This window comes from Homo sapiens, chromosome 7 (genome assembly GCF_000001405.40).
Source record: "Homo sapiens chromosome 7, GRCh38.p14 Primary Assembly".
Lineage (NCBI taxonomy): Eukaryota > Metazoa > Chordata > Mammalia > Primates > Hominidae > Homo > Homo sapiens.
The window spans coordinates 65,047,897-65,072,854 of record NC_000007.14 but is presented as its reverse complement, the minus strand read 5'-3'; the positions used below and the strand labels follow the sequence as shown (position 1 = coordinate 65,072,854).

The following is a 24,958-nucleotide window of genomic DNA, read 5'->3' as shown; positions in this document are numbered from 1 at the left end:
TGTAATCCCAGCATTTTGGGAGGCTGAGGCGGGCAGATCACGAGGTCAGGAGATCGAGACCATCCTGGCTAACACGGTGAAACCCCATCTCAACTAAAAATACAAAAAATTAGCCAGGCGTGGTGGCAGGTGCCTGTAGTCCCAGCTACTCGGGAGGCTGAGGCAGGAGAATGGCGTGAACCTGGGAGGCAGCAGTTGCAGTGAGCCAAGATCTTGCCACTGCACTCCAGCCTGGGCAACAGAGCAAGACTCCGTCTCAAAAAAAAAAAAAAAAAGAAAAAAAAAGAAACAACTGAGTTTAAGGCAAATGCAATATGAAAATCCTTCAACATTAATCTGAACCACCTACCACCACTCAACATCTCCAACAAAACTATACCAAAATTACTCAGTCTACTCTACTCCCTTAATTATTATACTTAGTCATTCCATTTTTTATTAATATCCTATTTTATCCCATTTTAGAACCCAGACTTCCCTAATAGTACTGGTGTCAAATTGCAAAGCAAAAGATTTTTTTTTTTGGTCCCCATTTTGAATCTTTCCTGGCTTCAACTCACATGTACTACATCTAGTTTTTCCTCTACAAACAGTTGCATTCTCTTACCTGTGTTCAGGTCCACACCCACGAGCTGACCTGATTCTGAATGTTCTGCTTAAATTTTAACTAATGTTTCCTGAAGGTCAAAACCAGAATTCTGAGCAAGAACCTAAAGTAAACAAATTTAATTCCTGAGAAAACAGGAAGAATTGATATTTAAAAAAAAAAAAAAAAAAAAAAGGCTGGGCATAGTGGCTCACACCTGTAATCCCAGCACTCTGAGAGGCCGAGGCGGGTGGATCACAAGGTCAAGAGATCGAGACTATCCTGGCCAACATGGTGAAACCCTGTCTCTACTACAAATACAAAAAATTAGCTGGGCATTGTGACACGTGCCTGTAGTCCCAGCTACTCAGGAGGCTGAGGCCGGAGAATCGCTTGAAACTGAGAGGTGGAGGTTGCCGTGAGCCGAGATCATGCCACTGCACTCCAGCCTGGGCGACAAGAGACTGCATCTCAAAAAAAAAAAAAAAAAAAAAGAGCAAAAGAAAATCTCGGCCAGATGCAGTGGCTCACGCCTGTAATCCCAGCACTTTGGGAGGCCAAGCCAGGTGGATCGCCTGAGGCCAGGAGTATGAGACCAGTCTGGCCATCATGGTGAAACCCCACCTCTACTACAAATACAAAAGAAACCTAGCCGGGTGTGGTGGCAGGCGCCTGTAATCCCAGCTACTGGGGAGGCTGAGGTTGCAGTGGGCCGAGATCACACCATTGCACTCCAGCCTGGACAACAAGAGCAAAACTCTCAAAATTCTTAAAAGCAAAACAAAACAAAAAAAGAATCTCATTGCATGAAGACAGAACATTTATGTTCCCTTCAGAGAATAACCAGACACAAGTTACTGATCAACTGTCTCATCTACCCCAAACCCAGCAGCAATACACGAGTCATAAGCTATACTTCAAAATTAGTATATAATAAAAAACAATGATATCAGTTTAGCTAAAACCAAAACAAAAAGCAAGTTTGTACTCAAGTATAACCCCTAATACTGCAAATATTAAGCTACAGGTTCTCTCTTGCCATCTGAAACGTCAGCTATTCAGGCCTCCCAGAGAAACCAAATACATTTGGATGTTCCAGAGTCAGGAAGAAAACTGATCAATCCTGTTTATCCAAAATCCGTATTATGAATGAATAAAGCCTACATTATCAAAAGGGTTTGATCAGCTGAATCTTTTGGAAGATTGACTGTTTAAGGCATACACACCTTGGGAATAACGAGCAACGCATCAGCAAATGCTTGGACTCCAAGCTGTGCCTTGCCCTTTACACTGAGCTTATATTTATTCAGGGCTTCTGCCATTGCCACTTCCACAGCACCAGCACCCGGAACCACACAGCCTGTTGGATGGGGGAAAAAGAAAAATGCTAAGAAAACTGTAGAACTAATTATGAATAACAAAATATACATATGAAAGCCATTAATTTCTTACAAATTCACTATGACCACATCAATTTAAGTACTGCATGTGAAAGCCACAATACAAGCGACTAACATATCAAATAGGAGAATGGTCCAACCAGAATGGCTTCACTGGCCACTGGCAGCCTTTCAGCAGATCAGTATTAGTTCATTTATTTGTATTCACCTTTAATAATGATATGCTATGAAAAACCTTAGCATACCATCAGTCATTCTAAAGGGAAGACTGCTTTTGCATGGTGTCTGGCTGTGTAAACTACTGATAAAAGAACACAGTATTCAGCCATGCTTTTCAGACCAGCAAAACAATTTAATAGAATTGAAATATGGTGAGGATCTTACCATCATCAACAGCATTTTTGACAGCCCTCAAGCCATCCCTTACTGCATCTTTGATCTAAGTGTGGGCTTATTTGGTCCTTTGATCAATAATGTGATAGAACGAGGGTTGTTACACTTCTCAATAAAGGTGAACTTCTCCCTTTGTGTAGAAGAAACATGATTTTCAAAAACACGATGTGTGCAAAGAGAGAAGAGGGACTTACAGAGAATGACAAGCAGCATATTAATAAGGAACAAACTTGATCACATCAAACCAAATTATCTTTTTGAAAAATCACATATAAATGGCTTCCCATTACTACACATAAACCTTCAAAATGTATATAAACAAAAATCTGATCCTGAATTTCAATTGATTTTTCTGCTAAAGACTTCATGAACCAGGCACAGTGGCTCCTGCCTGTAATCTCAGCACTTTGGGAGGCTGAGGGTGAAGGACAGCCTGAGCCCGAGAGTTTAAGACCAGCCTGGGCAACACAATACCACCCTGTTTCTACAAAAATTACAAAAAAAATTTAGCCAGGCATGGTAGCACATGTCTGTGGTCCCATTTGCTCAGGAGCCTGAAGCAGGAGGATCACTTGAGCCCAGGATGAGGAGGCTACAGTGAGCTGTGATCACACCACTGCACTCCAGCCCGGGCAGGAGTGAGAACCCATCTCAAACAAAACAAAAATAATTCATGAGCTAAAAAGTTCTATTACCCTCAGGAAGAAAATACACTTACCAATGTATACTCATATACAAGTCCTGCATGTCCCAAGCAGTCAGGACTTAGGTCCTCAAAAGAATTCAGGGCCACCCCACCACAAGCAAGAGTCAGCCTGAAATAGCATTTTAAGGGAAATGAATAAGCAATGTTACCAGTGAAGTTCAAAGAGAAGACCAGTAATTTCTAGGAAGGAATTTTTCAGAATTACACACAAAATTACAGTTTAAAATGTACTTTAACCTAAGCCTTTTCATTTGCCATCAACCAGCTGAAAACCAGTCTTTTAACCCTCCATTTAAACCACTCTCCCCAAGTCAGCAAATGAAATCTAAAGATGGACAAGAGCTCTTTATTGGCCAGGCATGGTGGCTCACGCCTGTAATCCCAACACCTTGGGAGGCTGAGGTGGGTGGATCACTTGAGGCCAGGAGTTTGAGACCAGCCTAGCCAACATGGCAAAACCCCACCTCTACCAAAAAAGCAAAACGAAAACGAAACATTCAACGGGCATGGTGGCAGACACCCGTAATCCTAGCTACTCGGGAGGCTGAGGCACAAGAATCCTAAGAACCCAGGAAGTAGAAGTTGCAATGAACCACGATCATGCCACTGTACAACAGAGCAAGACTGTCTCAAAAAAATAATAAAATAATATTTTTAAAAAAACTTTTATTGTGGTGAGCTCTTTGGGAGAAAGTATACTGAATTCAGAGACAAAAAGTAAAATAATGTTTACAAGGGCATAGAGGGAATGAGAAATGGGGAGTAACTATTTAATGGGTATACAGTTTCAGTTTGTGATGATAAAAAAAATCCTAGAGATGGACAGTGCTGATGGGTGCAAAATAACGCGAATATAGTTAATGCCAATTAATTGTACAGTTGAAAACCCAAAAATAAAGTATAAGGAAAAACAAATAATCCCAATTCATTTGCAAAATAAGTAAAAGTCAAATTACTTGGATAAATCTGCTACTCATACCTCTCCATATTCCTCCTTTTAGCTCTGTGAAGAGCGACTATGCCTTCTTTGAAAGAGCATCTAAGGAAAAGGGGTCAATTCCCTATAACAAAAATAAAAATTAGTTTCAACATCTTTCACCTTAAAAGTAAAAAGGATGATACATACTATTTAGTTTATACACTGGATTTTCATTCTCACCTTTTGATTAATAACAAATCCTTTATCTGAATCACCACAGACTTTCCTTTTCAGTTCTATTATTTGTTTTAACTCTATCTTCAATGAATTTTCTTTCAGCTTTTATGAGTTTTTCTCTTTCTGCACTCTTGTAAAAAAAGCCAGAATTCACTTCTCTATTAAGAAAAAAAAAAAAGTTACAGAAAGCAGGGAAACATTTATTTTTTGAGAAAATAGCTTCTGAAACTGGATTAGTCCTAAGATTTAACAAACAGCTCACTGAGCTCCAATCCTACCCCTTGCACATCTTCAGAGGCTGTTTCCTATAACTCTCCCAAACCAATTTGAGGATTATTGTCCTTAGAGTGGGAAACGAAGTTTCACAAAAAAGTAACTCACCTAAAACACGAAGCTCCTCCATTTAAGTTAAGGGGCTATAAACTTAAGTTTTTTCATATTCTAATGACACGTTACAAATGAGGATATATGCATCCTCCACCCTTTTCTTCCTATCAAGATGCTATGCTCCATGGTCCAAAACAAGCCCTCTGATTAAGCTGTTCAAACATACACAAAATTATGGTTATTGATTTCCAGATGGGTGTACGTTAAACACCGAACTGAGAAGGCACTGATAATTTTCATGCAGTCAGCGTTGTTTCTTGAATTACTTGAAGATCCTATGCTGTACAGAAAAGTCTGCAGAGATAGTCTCCCTGATAGGCTGTCAAACTGTGATGATATCTTTTAAAAACATGTTTTCTGCCAAGTGCCTGTAATGCCAGCACTTGGGGAGGCAGAGGTGAGAGGACACCTTAATCCCAGGAATTCAAAACCAGGCTATGCAACATAAGGAGACTCCATTCTCCATAAAAAGAAAGGAAAAATGAACATATACATGTTTTCTAACTAAGTCTTTAGAAAAAAAAATTTTTTTAATTCCTCTACTGCTTCTCATTATGCTTTGTACCTAGCAATTCAATAAACGCCAAATGACTGATGTTGTTCACCTTTCGGAATAATTCTACCCATAAATACAACATAACATTCACCTTATTTCAGGAGAAAATATTACTAAAAGTAAAAACAATCTTCACCTAGCAATTTATCCAACTTATATCTTCACCGAGCAATTTATCCAACTGATACCTTCAGGTAAATATACAACATTTTATATCCAAATATATTAAAAATTTTGCCAACAATATATATTGTACAAAGCACCCCTAAATTTCAAAACACACTTTATTAGTTTTTTTTTTTTTTTTGAGATGGAGTTTTGCTCTTATCACCCAGGCTGGAGTGCAATGGTGTGGTCTTGGCTCACTGCAACCTCTGCCTCCCAGTTTCAAGCAATTCTCCTGCCTCAGCCTCCCAAGTAGCTGGGATTACATGAGCCCGCCACCATGCCTGGCTAATTTTTGTAATTTTAGTAGAGACGGGGTTTCCCCATGTTGGCCAGGCTGGTCTCGAACTCCTGACCTCAGGTGATCTACCCACCTCAGCTTCCCAAAGTGCTGGGATTACATGCCTGAGCCACCAGGCCCCACCGTTAGTATTTCATAGTCTTCTACCACCTACCTCGTATCAGTTTCAGATTTATGTTTCTTGTCAATGATCACAAAATCATGAAGAGATCAATAGGTTCATCTTTTCTTTTAATGGCCAAAATGGAGCCCACTACAGCCTGCAATAGGAGAAGGATAACCATTAAGTAAATTCAATTTGCAGCAGCAGAAACATGTTGCTTTTCAGAAGGCTAAAGTAGACAGTTTCTTCATTTTATAATCTCTACACTGATATAAGTCTTTTTCTATAAGCAGATAGAATACATTATATATGAACAGCTGTTACATTTCTGAAATCTCAATCTGTAATTCCCAAACATTAACATTCCTTAACATTAATATTCCTCCTGGTGTTTCATTAAAAATACTGATAACTGGACGCTTTCTAATAACAAAATCTCCACTTTATAAACCGTTTAATGAAAGCTCCAATTTTACTTTTAAAACCCGGTTAGGTATACTATTATTTGAATTTCCTCATTTTACTTTTTAGAGACACAGATTAGGTATCACTGCCACAAAAATGAAGCTACATAGCACCTTGTGATTGAAATTGGTAATTATATTCACGTTTCTACTATCAGAGATTTTCTATACAGGTGTACCATACGAGACACAGACAAAATTTAATACATACCTCTGTTAAGACATCTGCAAGTTCAGCATGAACTTTAGTACAAAGAGATGCCCTGGCCACATCTTTAAGTGTTTCCTTGTCCATCTCTCTGCTTACTTTGACTTCTTCCAAAAAATGAAGGGCCTTTTCCTTCACAGCTTCAAATCCTTCAGTGATTATTCTGGGATGAAGGCCCTACAGTAAACACACAATAACACTTGCATCTTCAATTAGGTGCAACTATAGTTCATGATAAAGTTCAGATAATTCTTGGAGGGATATTCTGATCATCATATCTTTGAACACGAGGTAATATAATGTGCTGGCTTTCTGAATACATTTAAAGGGATAAATATTCCTTTCAATGCAGAGGAGAAGAGCAGGCAATGCTCTAGCACAGGGTCAAAGCCAAGGGAACTATAAAGCACACTTGGGTGTTCACTGTGCAAACCACTCCGAATCATGTCAAAACCGACACTGTGTCCCAACAACTCACAGATGGTAGCATTATTCTATCTTTTCTATAGGTAATCTCAAACTAATTCACATCATTTACTAATAAAAATAAATAAAGACTGTCTGCTCTCTTTTACCAGAAAATTCTGACAATAGATTCGTAGTCACTGAGGTTTGTTTTAAACCTTGGAACTAGTCAGGGCTAAAAAAGTGGAATTTATCTAAATGTAAGCTTTTGGTTGTATTTTTCCTAACAAATAAATATGCCTAGTCCTAAACATCCCATTTTAAAATCTCCATTATTAATCTAAAGACAGATACAAATCACATAGGCAATTCAACTTGATTACAAAATTATTTTCAGGCCAAAAAAGTTTCCATAACCTGTCCAAGCTCACAACAAATTTGTTTTAGACCAAGACAAAGACCCAGATTTAAGCCCCCTAATTCTACTGTATGGCCTCCGCTAGTATTAACACATCAATTTGTATAAATAAGTATCTGACACATCCTATATACAATAAAATATTACAGAAACAAGAGTTGTGTGCCGGGCGTGGTGGCTCACGCCTTTAATCCCAGCACTTTGGGAGGCCAAGACAGGTGGATCACCTGAGGTCAGGAGTTTGAGACCAGCCTGACCAACGTGGAGAAACCCCGTCTCTACAAAAAATACAAAATTAGCCGGGCGTGGTGGCGCATGCCTGTAATCCTAGCTACTCGGGAGGCTGAGGCTGGGAATTGCTTGAACCCAGGAGACGGACGTTGCAGTGAGCCGAGATGCCATTGCACTCCAGCCTGGACAACAAGAGTAAAACCCCATCTCAAAAAAACAAAACAAAAAAAAGTTGTGCATACTTCAGAAATGTAGAGATCCGCCTGTTTCAGCAGCTCTCCAATGATTAGGACGTTGGAAGTCGTACCATCACCAGTTATATCATCCTGGGCTGTTGCTACCTTTGCTATTAAGGAAGCTGTTGGGTGTTGAATTTGCTGAAAGTAGAAAAAGAATGAATCACTTAAAACAATATGAAACAGTCTAAAAATACCACAAATAAAATGCATGAAGGGCCTCTTTAAGTACTATCTACTTGAAAAAGCTACCCAAGTGTTTGGCTACAAATTACTAAGATTAAAAAGTCACAATTAGCTATCACGTGCATGAAATTATAATGATGGAAACATTTTTATGTGTAATTTATTTCCCAGGTTATCTCTACTTTACAGATGAGGAAGCTTGAGGCTCAGTAAAAGTTTACTCAAGATGACAGCTAACAGTTAACAGTAACAGATAATTTTACATCCTTGCCTCTTTAGGCAAGTGTAGGGCTCTAGTGACAATAAGCCAGGTATCTCCTAAAATGAAAGCTCAGCAGCCTCCACTGTTACTCTGCAATGGCCAAATAATTTAAAAGGAAAGGTCAGGTGCGTTAGCTCATGCCTGTAATCCCAGCACTTTGGGAGGCCACAGCAGATGGATCCCTTGAACTCAGGAATTCAAAACCAGCCTGAGCTACATGGCAAAATCCTGTCTCTTAAAAAAAAAAAAAAAAAAAAAAGCGGAAAAAAATTGTATTTTAGAGGTAAAATGACATGTCTGCAGCTTACCTTCAAATGATTCAGAGGAAAAATAGAAAAGAAATGGAGCAACATGTAAACAATTGGTGAATCTAGGTAAAGGGCACACACAATATAATTATTATTTTCACAGGTTTGTAATTTTTTCAATGAAAACTGAAAAACAGACTTCTGGAGATTGGAGAGAGGTTCCAGTGGGAGGGGACTTCTGAGGTGGTAGCAACAATTTATTTCTTAACTACAATGGTGGTTGTGTGTGTCCACTTCATAATTATTTCCTAAATTGTAAATGTTCTATGTGCTTATGCTGTATTTCTCAAACACTAAAACCCAAATAATTTTTTTTGTTGTTGTTGGTGACAGTCTCACTCTGTCGCCTAGGCTGGAGAGTGCAGTGGCACAATCTTGGCTCACTGAAACCTCAGCCTCCCAGCTTCAAGCAATCGATTCTCCTGCCTCAGCCTCTGGAGTAGCTGGGACTACAGGCATACAGAACCATGCCTGGCTAATTTTTGTATTTTCAGTAGAGACGGAGTTTCACCATGTTGGCCAGGGCTGTTCGTGAACTCCTGGCCTCAAGTGATCCACCTACCTCGGCCTTCCAAAGTGCTGAGATTACAAGAATGAGCCACTGCACCCAGCCCCAAAACAATTCTGACGTCAAGTTTAACCGTGGCTCCACTTTTCTGCTAACATGGGCCACCACTGAACCCAGTAAAAACAAAAACACCTCCTAGATTAGCAAGTCTTTATTAAAGATATTTCATCTGGATGTTGATAGCATGGTATACTACTAGCAAAACCCTAATTATTCTGAACTCAAATCAGCAGGAAATCATTTCCCTTTCTTGGATTTGAACTGCTAAGTTTTGGGAATTTCGGGATGAGTAAAATGCATACTCCCTTCAATAATCTCATATTCTCCATCCCCTAAGACTTTAAAAATGTTAAAGCAAAGAGATTTCTCTCCCCTCCAGTTGGAGATGGAGATGAGACATAACAGAGAAATTGCTGTTTTAAAAAGAGAAAACCTGGCCAGATGTGGTGGCTCATGCCTGGTAATCCCAGCACTTTGGTAGGCTGACTCAGGCGGATCACCTGAAGTCATGAGTTCAAGACCGGCCTGGCCAACATGGTGAAATACCATCTCTACAAAAAATACAAAAATTAGCTGGGCATGGTGGAGCAAGCCTGTAATCCCAGCTACTTGGGAGGCTGAGACAGGAGAATCACTTGAACCCAGGAGGCGGAGGTTGCAGTGAACCACTGGACTCCAGGCTGGGCGACAGAGTGAGATTCTGTCTTTAAAAAAAACCATAAAGAGAAAAACCATCCTCATGCATTTTGCCCATGTGATTGTGTCAACCACCCTTACTTTTTCAAATTTTATTATAATTAATGTACAATTACAGTCCTTTAGCCCAGACTGTGAATGGCAAAAAAGCAGGGATTCAAAGACAGGGCTGTCAGACTCCAGGCACAGTCAGTACTATTACTGTCACTGTTACATGTCACTTTTAAAGTACACCTTCCACTTCTCTTTCCATTATGTTAACCATTTCCTCTACTTTTTTGAACTGACAGCATATTTATAATTGCTGTTTTCATGTCTTCGTCTGTTAATTCCATCATCTCTGTCATTTCTGGATCTAGTTCTGTTGATTGTTCTCCTGATTACATCATATTTTCCTGGTTCTTTGCATGCTTGGTCATTTTACTGAATGCCAAACATTATGAGTTTTGTGTTTTGGGTGTTGGATTTTGTGTTTTTCTTTAAATAGGGCTGGACTTTGTTCTCACACACAGGTAAGATTCTTTAAATCGGCTGTATCTTCCAAGACTTGCTTTTTCATTGTTAGAGTAGATCCAGAGTAGCCTTTAACTTAGGGCGAATTTAGCCTCATTACAATGCCCTTTTGATGCCCTTGCATATACTCTGGCTAATGGGAACACAGACTATTCCCAGCTCTGTGTGAGTCCCAGGAATTGTTTGGCCTGCTGCTTTCCAGTGGGGTTCTTTCTCTGGCCTCAGGTGCTCTCCTCTCATGCACCTGTAGATCAGGACTCAACCAGATTTCAGGAGACTCCTCCACCTATCTCTGGAGTTCTGTGTACAACTCCCACCCCTCTGGTACTCTGCCCCACGAATGATGACAACCTTCCCTTCCTGCCAACCCCCATCTTGTCCTCCCAATTCTAAGACACCATGCTCTATTTGACTTCCCCATCCCTGCTCTGCAGCCTGAAAACTACCTCCAGATAATAAATTGGGGCAACCATAGAGCTCAGTAGGTTTGTTTCCCATCTTTCAGTGACCACAGTCTTGCTTTGCCTGTTACCCAATGCCCACAAATTGCTATTTCATATATTGTTGCTTAAAATAGCAAGGTAAATCCAGTCCTTGTTATTCTATCACTGCTGGACAGAATATATATCGCAAATCAAGTAACAGTTTCTCAATTTGTATCTTGTTGTTGTTGCTGTTTTGAGATAGGGTCTCACTCTCACCCAGGCTGGAGTGCATTGGCTCATAACTCACTGCAGCTTCAATTTCCTGGTCTCAAGGCATCCTCCCACCTAGGCCTCCCAAAGCATTGGGATTATAGGCACGTGCCAGCCACTATGCCCTCAACTTAGTATTTAAATGCTTAGCCTTCATCCAGCTCTACCTCTTTATAACACCAAAAAAAAATTTTCCTCCTTTTTTTCTTGGAATTTGCTCTTCTTAGTTTGACACTCAACTCTTAATTCTCCTACCTCTTTGATTATCATTTCTGATTCTTGAATCTTGAAAGTTCTAGGCAAGTTTCCAAAATCCTATTCTTGCCGCATTTTCTTCTCCATCTGTGTAGGATCTCACCAGTGAAATTTCAACAAGTCCCACAAATTCATTCATAACCTCTTTTGCAGAAGTCTACGTGACTGGCCTTGGACTTCTTCATTCACAGAGGGGAAAAGGGTGAATACAAAATATAATTTCTACTACACTTTAAAATTTATGTATGTACTTCTATTATTATTATTTTTATTATTATTTTTAGCAGAGTCTTGCTCTGTCACCCAGGCAGGAGTTCAATGGTGCAATCTTGGCTCAGGGCAACCTCTGCCTCTGGGGTTCAAGCGATTCTCATGCCTTAGCCTCCCGAGTAGCTGGGACTACAGGCATGTGCCACAACACCCAGTTCTAATATTTGTATTTTTAGTAGAGATGGGGTTTCACCTTGTTGGCCAGGCTGGTCTTGAACTCCTGGCCTTAAGTGATCCACCAGCCTCAGCCTCCCAAAGTGCTGGGATTACAGGCGTGAGCCACCATGCCCAGCTATATATGTAGTTTTATACATATACAACCAGAGGAAAAAACAGCAGTTAATTCACTTAAGGTATTAAGAATGATGATCTGTTTTGTGGGTAACATTTTCTTTATTTTTCTATATTTTCTTTCTTTCTTTTTTTTTTTGAGACAGAGCCTTGCTCTGTCACCCAGGCTGGAGTGCAGTGGCACGATCTCAGCTCACTGCAAGCTCTGCCACCCCTCCCGGGTTCATGCCATTCTCCTGCCTCACAGCCTCCTGAGTAGCTGGGACTACGGGTGCCCACCACGCCTGGCTAATTTTTTTGTATTTTTAGTAGAGACGGGGTTTCACCGTGTTAGCCAGGATTGTCTCGATCTCCGGACCTTGTGATCTGCCCACCTCAGCCTCCCAAAATGCTGGGATTACAGGCATGAGCCACCACACCTGGCTATTTTTCTGTATTTTCAATACACACACACATACACATACACGCGTGCGTGCGCGCGCACACACACACACACACACGAAGCTATTTTTGTGTGTGTGTGTGTGTGACAGTTTCACTCTTGTTGCCCAGGCTGGAGTGCAATGGCATGATCTTGGGTCACTGCAACCTCTGCCGCCCGAGTTCAAGTGATTCTCCTGCCTCAGCCTCCCGAGTAGCGGGGATTACAGTCATGTACCACCACGCCCGGCTAATTTTTGTATTTTTAGTAGAGATGGGGTTTTTCCATGTTGGTCAGGCTGGTCTCAAACTCCTGACCTAAGATGATCCGCCTGTCTCAGCCTCCCAATGTGCTGGGATTACAGGCATGAGCCACCATGTCTGGTACGAAGCTATTTTTTAAGTCCCCATTTCTAGCTCATAACTCCAGCTGTTTTCACAGGCCAGAATCTCACACCACTGTTTTCAAAAGCAAGTCACATATCTTCCACCTAGAGCCTGCCTTTCTCCCTCTGTGCCAGTTAATGATATTCAGTCGTCCCATAAGCTTGAGTCATTTCAATTTGTCCTTCTGTTTCCACATCTAGTCAAAAATCCTACTGGAAACAATGAATTTCAATCCATGAGAAAAAACATTACTGCAGAGGGCTCTAGAATAATGATCTCAAAGCAGCACTAAACAGCTAGCAGAATGAAAAATCCCCTTTTTTCCAGGTCAGAGATATGAGACAATCTGCAAAGAGGAAGCCATGCCCTTGGCATAGAAGCCGCTTGTTCCTGGGATAAAGAGGTGGATTTGGAAGAGTAGGCCAAAGTTGGACAATAAGCCAAGGGGGGAAACTGTTGAAGAGAGTCAAGAGGCTGAGGCCTTGAGCCTGCATTTTGGGTGGCACCCAAAGATGACAAAAGGAGAAACATGTCATAAACTAGGCTTCAAATGGCGCTTTGGCAGAAAGTTGTTTTGCTGCCCAAACTGGCATTTAATATTGGTTGAAATGAATAAGACATGCCAGCCATCAACTTTTTACCATGTAATTAACCAGCTCTGAATAAGGACATGTCTTTTTACTTTAGTGCTCTTTTGAAAATGGGTAATAAACAAAATATTCAAAAGTCACAAAATAGTATGGACCGTGAGAACATTGTGCTAAGTGAAACAAACCAGTTACAAAAGGACAAACACTATATGATTCCACTTGCATGAGCTATCTAGAGTAGTCAAATTCATAGAAACAGAAAGTAGAATGGTGACTGCCAAGGGTAGGGGAAGTATTAAGTACTTGTTTAATGGCTAGGAAAAAGTTTTGGAGGCTGGTTGTACAACAATATGAATATACTTTAAACTACTGAGCAGTACCCTTAAAAATGTTTAAGATAGTAAGTTTTGCTACATGTATTTTATCACAATTAAAAATTTTTAAAAATTTTAAGTCACAAATTAGTGTAGAAAGTATCACCCAATTCTGCCTTCTGGCCACTCGGTTCCACTCCTCAGAGACAGCCAGTGTTAGTATATCTTCCCATCTTTCCATTTGGGAATACATTAGAAATACATTCTAATTATATATGCTTGCAAATATATGCCTATAGAGATAAAACACACCCATACACAAACAGTGGCATATTACACGTACTGTTCATGCACTTCGGTCTTTTCATTTAACGTATCTTAGAGACTTTTCTAAATTACTTCATATACAACTGCCTTACTCCTTTTAGGAGCTGCTACCTGGCCGGGCGTAGTGGCTCATGCTTGTAATCCCAACACTTTGGGAGGCCGAGGTGGGTGGATCACGAGGTCAGGAGTTCAAGACCAGCCTGGCCAAGATGGTGAAACCCCATCTCTACTAAAAATACAAAAATTGGCCGGGCATGATGGCAGGTGCCTGTAACCCATATACTCAGGAGGCTAAGTCAGAGAATTGCTTGAACCCAGGAGGCAGAGGTTGCAGTGAGCCAAGATCGTGCCACTACACTCCAGCCTGGGCAACAAAGCGAGACTCTGTCTCAAAAAAAAAAAAAAAAAAAAAAAACCTGCTACAAATTTACTGCATGACTATATCAATTATTTTACCAGTTCCCTACTAATGGGTAATTAGGTTTTGCATGAGTTTTTGTGCTTATAAACACAGCAATGAATACCTTCATGCTATTTTTAAGCCCCACATATACAAGAGTGTGTGTAAATATATGTTACATGCCTAGGATGAAACTGCTAAAACAAAAGTTATGTGCATTCTTTATGTGTGATTGTGTGATGTGTGTGATGTGTGACTTGATGTATACACACTATTTTTATTTATATTAAAATGTGTATTGAAGTATAGCATACATTCAGAACAGTACATAATTCTTAAGTTCATAGCTTAATGAATTTTCTCAATATAATTACACCTAACACAGAGATTAAAAAAAAAAAAAAGATTATAAGCCTCCAAAAGCCCTTCATGTCTCCATCCAGTGAGCTCCCCAAGAGTAATACTACCCTGACTTCTAACACCACAATTTTGTCTTTTTTTGAATTTATATTTGTGTTTGGCTCTTTCACCCAACATTATGATTGTGAGTCATTCATGTTGGGTGAACTGTAATTCATTCATTCTTATTGCTCTATAATATCCCATTGTGTAAATACATCACAACTGATCTAAACTATACTACACTACATAAGGTATGTGCATTCTTAAATTTTAATGGATATTATTCAACTGCTCTCCATAGAGTTTAGAAACTTACCATTAATATACGGAAGTAGCTGTCTTCCTACACCTTAGTCAATAGCTAATCAAACTTCTTAATCATGTTAATCGGGTATTTTTAAAATGCTTTCAGTATAGTTTCAATTTGCTTAACTCTTACATTGACTGCAACTGAGGATCATTTCATACATTTAGGAGCCACTTGTCTTTCCTTTGAACTGTCTCTGAATGTGCCCACTTGTCTACTGAGTTGTTGGTCTTTTCTATCAGCAAGCGATCTTGCTTTTTAAAGGAAATTAGCCCTTTGAACATGCTGCATGGCAACTATTTCTTCCCAGCTTATCACTGGAGTCCCAATTTTGTTTATACTAGTTTTTGCCATGTCTAGGTTGTCTGTTTGTTTGTTTATTTATTTATGAGATGAGGGGTCTTGCTCTGTTGCCCCGGCTGGAGTGCAGCGCAATGTTGCGATCTCAGCTCACTGCAACCTCCGCCTCCCGGGTTAAAGCGATCCTCTTGCCTCTGTCGTTTCTAATAAAGTTAAACACTCACCTATCCCATGACCCAGAAATCCACTCCTAGATATATACACAAGAGAAATTAGTATATATGAGAATGTTCATAGCAGCTTAATTCACAATAGCCAAAACCTAGAAACAATCAATAAGAAAATGAATAAACAAAGGGTAATATAATCATACAACAGAACTCAGCAAGAAAAAAAGAGTAACTCATACCACCGCCAAGTTGGATAAATTGCAAAAAAAAAAAAAAAAATTATGCTGGGCAAAAGCCAGACACAGCAGAGTCCTTACTGTCTGAGCCCATTCATATGAAGTTCAAAAACAGGCCAAACGCATGTATAGTGGCCAAAGTCAAAACAGTGTGGTTAGAATAGCAGCTTCTTTCTGGAAATTACCATGAAAGAACTTTCTGGGTGACGGAAATATCCTATATCTTCATCTGGGTAGTGGTTATAGATACATTTATAGGTAAAATACTCTTCAGGCTGTACATTTTTGTTTTTATTGTGTATGACATATACCTCAGTTACACACAAAAACCCATTATGTACCTACCAGAATGGTTAATAAAATTTAACAGATTGACAATTCTAAGCCTTGGCAAAGAGGTGGATAAACAGGAATTCTCACACACTGTTGGTAGGAATCTAAACTAGTGCAACCACTTTGGAAAATAGTCTGGCATTACCAAGTAAAACTGAAGATATACAAAAATGTTTATAGCTGCAGTATTCATAATTGCTGCAAACTGGAGACAAATATCCATCAAAAAGAGAGTGAAGGCTGGATGTGGTGGCTCACGTCTGTAATCCCAGCACTCTGGGAGGCCAAGGCAGGTGGATCACCTGAGGTGAGGAGTTTGAGACCAGCCTGGCCAACATGGTGAAATGCCATCTCTACTAAAAAGACAATAATTAGGGGCCGGGCGTGGTGGCTCACGCCTGAAATCCCAGCATTTTGGGAGGCCAAAGCGGGCAGATCACGAGGTCAGGAGATAGAGACCATCCTGGCTAACAAGGTGAAACTCCGCCTTTACTAAAAATACAAAAACATTAGCCGGGCATGGTGGTGGGAGCCTGTCGTCCCAGTTACTCGGGAGGCTGAGGCAGGAGAATGGTGTGAACCCAGGAGGTGGAGGTTGCAGTAAGCCGAGATCGCACCACTGCACTCCAGCCTGGGCAACAGAGCAAGACTCTGTCTCAAAAAAAAAAAAAAAAATTAACCGGGTGTGGTGGTGTGCACCTGTAGTCCCAGCTACTTGGGAGGCTGAGGCAGGAGAATCGCTTGAACCCATGAAGCAGAGGTTGCAGTGAGCTGAGATCATGCCATTGCACTCCAGCCTGGGTGACAAGAGTGAAACTCAGTCTCCAAAAACAAAAACAAAAAAAAGAGAGAGAATGAATATATCAATTGTGTTATATTCATAATAGAGTATTATTCAGCAATGACTAATGCACAAACTACAGCTCCATAAAACACAGGTGAATCTCACAAAATGACACTGAGTGAAAGCAGCCAAGTAAAGAAAACAAACTAAATGGCTCCATTTATATAAAGTTCAAATAGTAAAACTAAACTACCAAGTTTGGGTGCGATCTTAGAAAAGTAAGAAAATGATTCCATAAAAAGTCAGGACAGAGGTAACTTTTGAGAAGGCGTACGCATATAGTTGATTAGGGGGAAGTTAAGGGAGGGCTTTCTGGAGTGCTGGCATTGGTCTATTTAATGACCGGAATGTTGGTTACAGGGTTATACTTTGGTGATTACAACAACAAAAAGATGCACCACTCAATGATTTTTCTGTAAGTTATAGTTCACAATAAAAGAACGTGAAAAACAATCAATGGGGCCTGGTGATTGATTGAATTTGGTGGGGGAGGGGAGGAAGAGAATCATGGACAAGTCCCAGGTTTCTGACTTGCACAATTGCTTAGGTGGTGATGCCTTTCACTGAGATAGCCAACAGCATTTTTGGAGGAAGAGTATGAAATAAATCTTGGACATACTGAATTTATTAGTTTTGGGACATCTAAGTAGAGATGTCTAGTAGGCAATTAGATATTAGCAAATGAAGTACTCAATAGCAGAGGTTGGGGTAGAGATAAAAATGTTGGATTCACCCATGAGTGAGACCATGGACATGGCTGTGACTGTTAAGGGAAAGAAGAATGACAGAAGGGCCTAAGGCTGCTTGGTGGGACATCAACATTTAATGGCCAGATACAGAATAAGCCAGCAAAAAAAAAAAAAAATTGAGAGTGGTAGGAGGAAAATGAAGAACTGTCACGAACCATTAAGCAAGAGGAAAGAGCGTCTCAAGAGTAAGAAGTCACTCCCTGCAGGTTGATGTGTAGTTGGGGGGTTAGAGGGGGACATGGATTATGTGTACTACTCAGCAGGCTAGTTTTTACTCCACCTCTTTCTGGCTGACTTGACACAAGCAACAACCCAACAGAAAACCAATATTTCTGAGAATGGCTGCAAGTTTTTTTTTTTTGCTGTCTTTTGAGGTAAGAAATCAAGGCTGAGCTCTTCTTTCTCCTAATTCTCAGGAAGGAGGAAGGCAGATATGAGAACACTGATTGGGTCTGAGTGTACTGGGCAGCATCACTGTTAAAAGGTCAGTACACAGATGCGAGCTCACTTGTCTGCTTCTTTCATGTGACTGAAGTGGTTAAGAAGGTTGTCAACTCCCCCCTGCACCCCCCTCACCACCGCAGTAAGGGAGAGACAGGGCCAAACCTGCAGCTTGGGTAGAAGAGGCCAGGGCAGGTGTCCAAGGCCAGATCAGCAGTCAGCCAGGGCAAATGGGCTCACTCTGGTTACATGACCTCAAGCAACTGACAGAAAGGAGTGAAATGTGGGGAAGATCTCAGTGTGTTTGAGAACTGGGAAGATGAAAAGGGTTCATCTCATGGCCTGCTTTAGTTTGAAACAATTTAAGCTTAACTAGATTCCAAAAAAACAGCATTTCCACCTGAACCAGCTGGGTTCATTCCAGTCTTTTACCCTGGAGTTTGGTGCCCAAGTCCTAGTTAAGAATAAAATGTAGAGTCCTTTTGTTGTCCATTTGTCAGTGCAAATATTTAATATAAATATTTCTCCCAGGGACCCTATAGACTTGAAAATAGTGGCTATAGATTGCAGACAATTTTGATATTCCAGGGATCCCTGACCAGAATAATAAGAAATTACCATAATTTCTCAATTTCTAGCACCACACAAATTGCATCTCACACACACAGACACATACACACACAGGGGCGGGTTTACCTACTTCTCAGAAAATTGCACAGATTCAACAAGAAAGAATAAATAGTAATTAATGTGTTCCTTAATGGCTGGTGAATAATAATAAAATGTTAACTAAAACAAAAACAACTTTTATTTTTAAACCCACTATCACCCCTCACCAAATATTTAAGTGATAAAGTCTAAACTGACAGAACAGCAAATTAGTACAGTCCTTTGGGAGGGAAATATGGTGATACATAGTAGGAAGCTATCCTGTTATTTGTTGCTTTTATTTTTAAATGACAGAAAGAAACAAAATTTAAAAAGGCTATGTTTCATAAATCACAATACATTCTTACAATATATACTATGTAAACACTTTAAAAATGAGATGCTTGTGTGAGAACTAACTTTGAAGGAGGCGCAAGGTATTTACAAATTATTCTATTGAATGATAGCATTTGTGCAACACCTATGTACTAGGGCTGTGCTGACTGCTTGTACACTTGCTGTTTAATTTTACAATAACCTTACAAGGCAGGTGGCATACTAACCTCATTTAACAAATAAAATGGAAGTGGAGGCTTAAGTTTATTATCTAGTATCACTGAGGGAGGACATAGCACAATTAGGATCTAAAACCACGAAACCTTGATTTCAGAACCTACACTTCCACTCACTGTGCCAGTGTGTCATAAAGTATACATACTTTTGAAAAACTCATTTATTTAATATGGATCAATGTTATATTTCTTTAATATACAGCAATGTACATAATATCAAAGTTATGTATTTATCTAATATAGATCAAGAGTTCACAGCTCTTATCACTAAGGATTTCTGGGTTTCTTTAGTAAATTTTAAGAAAAGTGTTATGAATTAACAGTACAGATGATACAAGCATATGGCAAAAGTAACAAGGAGGTACTCCAATGACTGAAAGTTTAGAGAACAAAACTCTTACCTTCCCGGCCAGGCATGGTGGCTCATGCGTGTAATCCCAGCACTTTGGGAGGCTAAGGCGGGCAGATCATGGGGTCAGGAGATCGAGACCATCCTGGCTAACACGGTGAAACCCCCGTCTCTACTAAAAATATGTAAAATTAGCCAGGGGTGGTGGCATGCACCTGTAATCCCAGCTACTTGGGAGGCTGAGGCAGGAGAATAGCTTGAACCCGGGAGGCAGAGGTTTCAGTGAGCCAAGATTGCGCCACTGCACTTCAGCTTGGGTGACAGAGTAAGACTCTGTCTCAGAAAAAAAAAAACAAAAACAGTGGCTCACGCCTGTAATCCCAGCACTCTGGGAGGCCAAGGTGGGTGGATCACAAGGTCAGGAGATTGAGACCATCCTGGCTAACATGGTGAAACCCTGTCTCTACTAAAAATATAAAAAATTAGCCAGGCGTGGTGGCGGACGCCTGTAGTCCCAGCTACTCGGGATGCTGAGGCAGGAGAACGGCGTGAACCCGGGAGGCGGAGGTGGCAGTGAGCCGAGATCGCACCACTGCACTCCAGCCTGGGCGACAGAGTGAGACTCCATCTCAAAAAAATAAAAAAATAAAAAAACAAAAAGCTCTCACCTTCTCAAAAGGCACCTTCTTCTTTATATGCTGCAATATTGTATGACATTTTCACAACAATTGCGTATTACCTCAAAGAGGTTTTTTGAAAAAATAAAACAACCCCTCCTGAAACATTTTTCAAATAAAACAAAAGTAAAGGCACTATCTCAATGTGTACCTTCAGAAACTGGAAACATCCTTCATATCTAACAATAAGAGTTAAGTACAGGTATCAACTTGATTAAATGGTCCTTAATCATTAAATTAATGACTATAAGAAAAAGAGATCATAATATACTGCCGATTATTACAAGAACCTGAGTATACATATACCATATATCATGATAAAGACTCTTTAGACCAAAAGTAAAGGTGAAAAGAGAAATGAAAACAGGGATAGATGATATAAGGCTTTTCCCTCAACTAATTTACTCTAACACTATCTTTGTAATACATGTGTTTAGAACAAAACAATGCCACAATGAGCATCTAAGTTAAAACCGTTATCAGAGAGGCAATTCCAGAATAAACAGATACAATATGCTCCTTGATGGAAAGACCTGCTAGTGAGAACTGACTCCTTCCCATATTCGTCTATAAATTTAGCACAATTCTAATCAAAATCTCAGTGGGATTTGTCTTAGAACTCATCAAAATTATTCTAAAATTCACCGGAAACAGTAAATTCATGACAATAGCAAAGAAAAATTTGGAAATGAGCATATTTGCCCTATCAGATATCAAACTTCTATAAAAAGCCACGGGGGAGGGGTGGTAATGGAATAAACACAGACCGACCTGTCACTGGAACAGAACTGAGAATCCAGAAAGAGGCCTTATGTATGCAGAAAAGCCTTGTGGCATTTGAAATATGAACAAGTCAATGAACTGAGAGAGGCAAAAGCCTATCCATTTAGGAAAAATTTAGATCCCTACCCTTACACTAGATACAAAAGGAAATTCCATACAAACTAAAAGAGCTCAGTGTGAAAAAAATTTTTTCATATAAAGTATATGAAAATATTTTAAAGATAATCTTGGGATGGTAGAGATTTTGCTAAACCAGAAAAAAAAAAAAACTATAAATATGTGAAAGATTTTCCAGTTGAATAATGAAGAATTTTTTTAAGTGAAAGATCTGACCACCTAAGTTAACACTTCTATGTAAAGACACCATAACACAAAATTAAAAGACAAATAACAAATGAAGAGAAAATGTGTAACACATATAACAAAAGATTAACCATTGTGACATCTAAAGAACTCCTATAAAGCAATAAGAAGAAAAGATAAACAACCCAGAAAGGGAAAAAATGGGCAAAGGTATGAACAGGCAATATCCAGAAGAAATGCAAAATTTTTGTCTGTACAAAAATTATGTTGTAGATTCATGTAACACCCAGTAAACTACATTCTAGGAGGTTAAAGAAGTCATGTTTTTCAGAACTAACAAATTACATATATTTACACAATATCAGAATGGGAAGTGCCTGTCTGAACTTGAATCTACAGACAAAAATTACCAAGAAAAATCATTAAAATTATCATAGACTTAAAAAAACCTTTGTACTAGCATTCGTCTAAATCGATGTGAAAAATTCTAAAATTTATCCAGGCAGGAGAAGAAACACAGTTAATAAAAACATGAAAACCTCATTATCAAACAAGGTGATTATAAATTAAAAAATAAATTTTTTAAATGTGAAACCATTAAATCTTGCTGATGCTTGGGGAAAATGCAAATCAAAACAATAACATGACAATTTTCATAAATCATATTGGCAAATATCTAAAAAATGAGAATGCCCAATTTGGCAAGGGCACAGGGCACCCAATATTCTCTTCCATTACTGGTGGAATTTTTAACAACATGGGAAAATAGTGGTAATATTTTCTTTTTTTTTGAGACAGTCTCACTCTGTCGCCCAGGCTGAAGTACAATGGCATGATCTCGGCTCACTGCAACTTCTGCCTCCCCAGTTCAAGCAATTCTCCTGCCTCAGCCTCCCAAGTAGCTGGGACCATCAGTGTGCATTACCATGCCCAGCTAATTTTTGTATTTTTAGTAGAGATGGGGTTTCACCACGTTGGCCAGGCTGTAGAGATGGGGTTTCACCACGTTGGCCAGGCTGGTCTCAAACTCCTGACCTCAGATGATCCACCTGCCTCAGCCTCCCAAAGTGCTGGGATTATGGCCACCGTGCCCTGCCGTGATATGTTAAGTGAGGAAAAGACAAATTAAACATACAGGAAGATCTAAACCATGTTCTAAAATAATAGTAACTATGTTTTATGAGTACCTTTATGCCAGACACCAGGACTATTTACATGTACTGGTACACTTCATATTCACAATAATCCTATGAGTTAACGCTATTACTACCCTCATTTTATGGAGGAAGAAGCTGAGACAAGAGATCAAGTGACAGAGCCAAGATTTCAACTCAGGTTGACTCTAGAGTCCCAGATCTTAACCACTGGCACAATGTATAGAAATTAATCAAACTCTTTAAACACAGTGGAATTGAGTATACTGTCTACTTTAATTCCCGATTTTGTCATATATATTCTACTATTTTACTTCTCAAATACAACGAGTTTTTAAAAGGATCGGTAATCACAAGACAGCCAACAGTGTCCCTGAAATTCCCCTAGAGATGCTAACTACAAAATAAAACTTATGAATCATAATTCAATAGCTTTAAATATTGTAGTACAAGAACATTTTTCTAAATGAAATTTTATGTGCATCTATAACATAAGAAACAGATTAGGCTGGGTGTGGTGGCTTGCACCTGTAATCCCAGCACTTTGGGAGGCTGAGGAGGGCAGATTACGAGGTCAGGAGGTCGACACCAGCCTGGCCAACATGGTGAAACCCCATCTCTACTAAAAATACAAAAATTAGCAGGGTTTGGTGGCAGGTGCCTGTAATCCCAGCTACTCGGGAGCCTGAGGCAGGAGAATCACTTGAAGCTGGAAGGCAGAGGTTGCAGTGAGCTGAGATCCTGCCACTGCACTCCAGCCTGGGTTAAAGAGTGAAACTCCATCTCAAAAAACAAACAAAAAAAGAATAAAGCAGTATTTTATTCTATCAATGTATTTCAAAGCTCAAACGTGGCCGGGTGTGGTGGCTCATGCCGGTAATTCCAGCACTTTGGGAGGCCAAGGCGGGGGGTGGATCATTTGAGGTCAGGAGTTCGAGACGAGCCTGACCAACATGGTGAAACCCCATCTCTAGTAAAAACATACACACAAAAAAAAGCCAGGCATGGTGGCACGTGCCTGTAGTTCCAGCTACTCAGGAGGCTGAAGCAGGAAAATCACTTGAAGCTGGGAGGTGGAGGTTGCATTGAGCCGAGATGGCACCACTGCATGCATTCCAGCCTGGGTGACAGAGTGAGACTGCATCTCCAAAAAAAAAAAAAAAAAAAAAAAAAAGCTCAAATGTATAACATGTATAATGAGAACAATAAAATTCTTCTGACAAACACCAACTTTAAATTATGGATGATTGGGCAGTCTTATGTCAAATTTGTTTTGATGGCATGGTATCAAGAAAAACCGGATTCACAAAGATGAATAGATGATAAAGCATGTTTTACAAATGATAATGTTTTGTGTGTGTTTTTTAAATAGTACATTAACGCTATCTAAGAATTTAATTACACCTATCCAGAAGTTTTAAAAGTAAAACATTTCTAAATTAATTATGTAATAGTGTTAAGGAATGAATACTTGGTAGTCGTAAACATTTTGGTAAAAAATAAAAACTTTACAATATGTACTAATCCTGATATATGCATTAGGCAGTCATGTTATTGCATAATGCAACAGTTCTAATAGTACTGAATGTGCTTATATAATGTTATATGAACAAACAAGCACTAGCCTAAAATTTCAAAATATCAACATAAAGATACAGTCTTACTAATCAATAACATTTTTATCCTTTCTAACTCTGAGGAAAAAAAAGGAAAGAAAAAATTTTAATTAAAAAATAAAATGGCATTTTAAAAGTTTCATTTCTATATACAAAGTGAGACACTCTATTCCAAGGATTGTTGTCCTGGGTGTAAGCATTATAGATAATTTACATTTTCTTCCTTTTGCTTATTTTCTCTCAAATATTCTAAATGCACTTTTTTGTGTGTGCTTTTTTACTTTTTATTTTATTTTATTTTATTTTTGAGATGGAGTTTCACTCTTGTTGCCCAGGCTGGAGTGCAATGGCGTGATCTTGGCTCACTGCAACCTCCGCCTCCTGGGTTCAAGCAACTCTCCTGCCTCAGCCTCCCGAGTAGCTGAGATTACAGGCATGCACCACCATGCCCGGCTAATTTTGTATTTTTAGTAGAGATGGGGTTTCACCATGTTGGTCAGGCTGGTCTCCAACTCCTGACCTCAGGTGATCCACCCACCTCAGCCTCCCAAAGTGCTGGGGTTACAGGCGTGAGCCACTGCACCCAGTCTATTTTATTTTATTTTCTTGAGACAGAGTTTGCTCTGTCGCTCAGGCTGGAGTGCAGTGGCATGATCTCAGCTCACTGCAACCTCTGCCTCCCAGGTTCAAGTGATTCTCCTGCCTCAGCCTCCCAGGTAGCTCAGACTACAAGCACCCACTACCATGCCCGGCTAATTTTTGTATTTTTAGTAGAGATGGGGTTTCACCATGTTGGCCAGGCTGGTCTTGAACTCCTGACCTCACGTGATACATCCGCCTCAGCCTCCCAAAGTGCTGGGATTACAGGCATGAGCCA

The 24,958-nt window shown here is 39.7% G+C and overlaps 1 long non-coding RNA gene, 2 other non-coding genes and 1 pseudogene across 4 annotated transcripts in view; 1 reads left to right on the top strand and 3 right to left on the bottom strand.

Annotated features, from left to right (window-relative positions):
• CCT6P3 (chaperonin containing TCP1 subunit 6 pseudogene 3) overlaps positions 1–24,958 on the bottom strand; it is a 36,360-nt pseudogene that overhangs the window by 1,859 nt on the left and 9,543 nt on the right. Inside the window, exons 2-9 of the transcript NR_033416.1 lie at positions 7,722–7,856; positions 6,429–6,602; positions 5,805–5,910; positions 4,245–4,399; positions 4,065–4,146; positions 3,098–3,194; positions 2,371–2,509; positions 1,813–1,946 (exon numbers count right to left, since the gene is read on the bottom strand). The product of NR_033416.1 is annotated as a chaperonin containing TCP1 subunit 6 pseudogene 3 (transcript). The remainder of the gene's footprint in view (positions 1–1,812; positions 1,947–2,370; positions 2,510–3,097; positions 3,195–4,064; positions 4,147–4,244; positions 4,400–5,804; positions 5,911–6,428; positions 6,603–7,721; positions 7,857–24,958) is intronic.
• SNORA15B-1 (small nucleolar RNA, H/ACA box 15B-1) lies at positions 2,183–2,317 on the bottom strand. The gene has a single exon (NR_145716.1). It is a non-coding gene; the product is annotated as a small nucleolar RNA, H/ACA box 15B-1 (small nucleolar RNA).
• On the bottom strand, positions 6,723–6,856 carry SNORA22C (small nucleolar RNA, H/ACA box 22C). Its single transcript, NR_145729.1, has one exon. It is a non-coding gene; the product is annotated as a small nucleolar RNA, H/ACA box 22C (small nucleolar RNA).
• Positions 11,359–15,724, top strand: LOC124901663 (uncharacterized). Its single transcript, XR_007060369.1, has 2 exons — positions 11,359–11,400; positions 12,894–15,724. It is a non-coding gene; the product is annotated as an uncharacterized LOC124901663 (long non-coding RNA).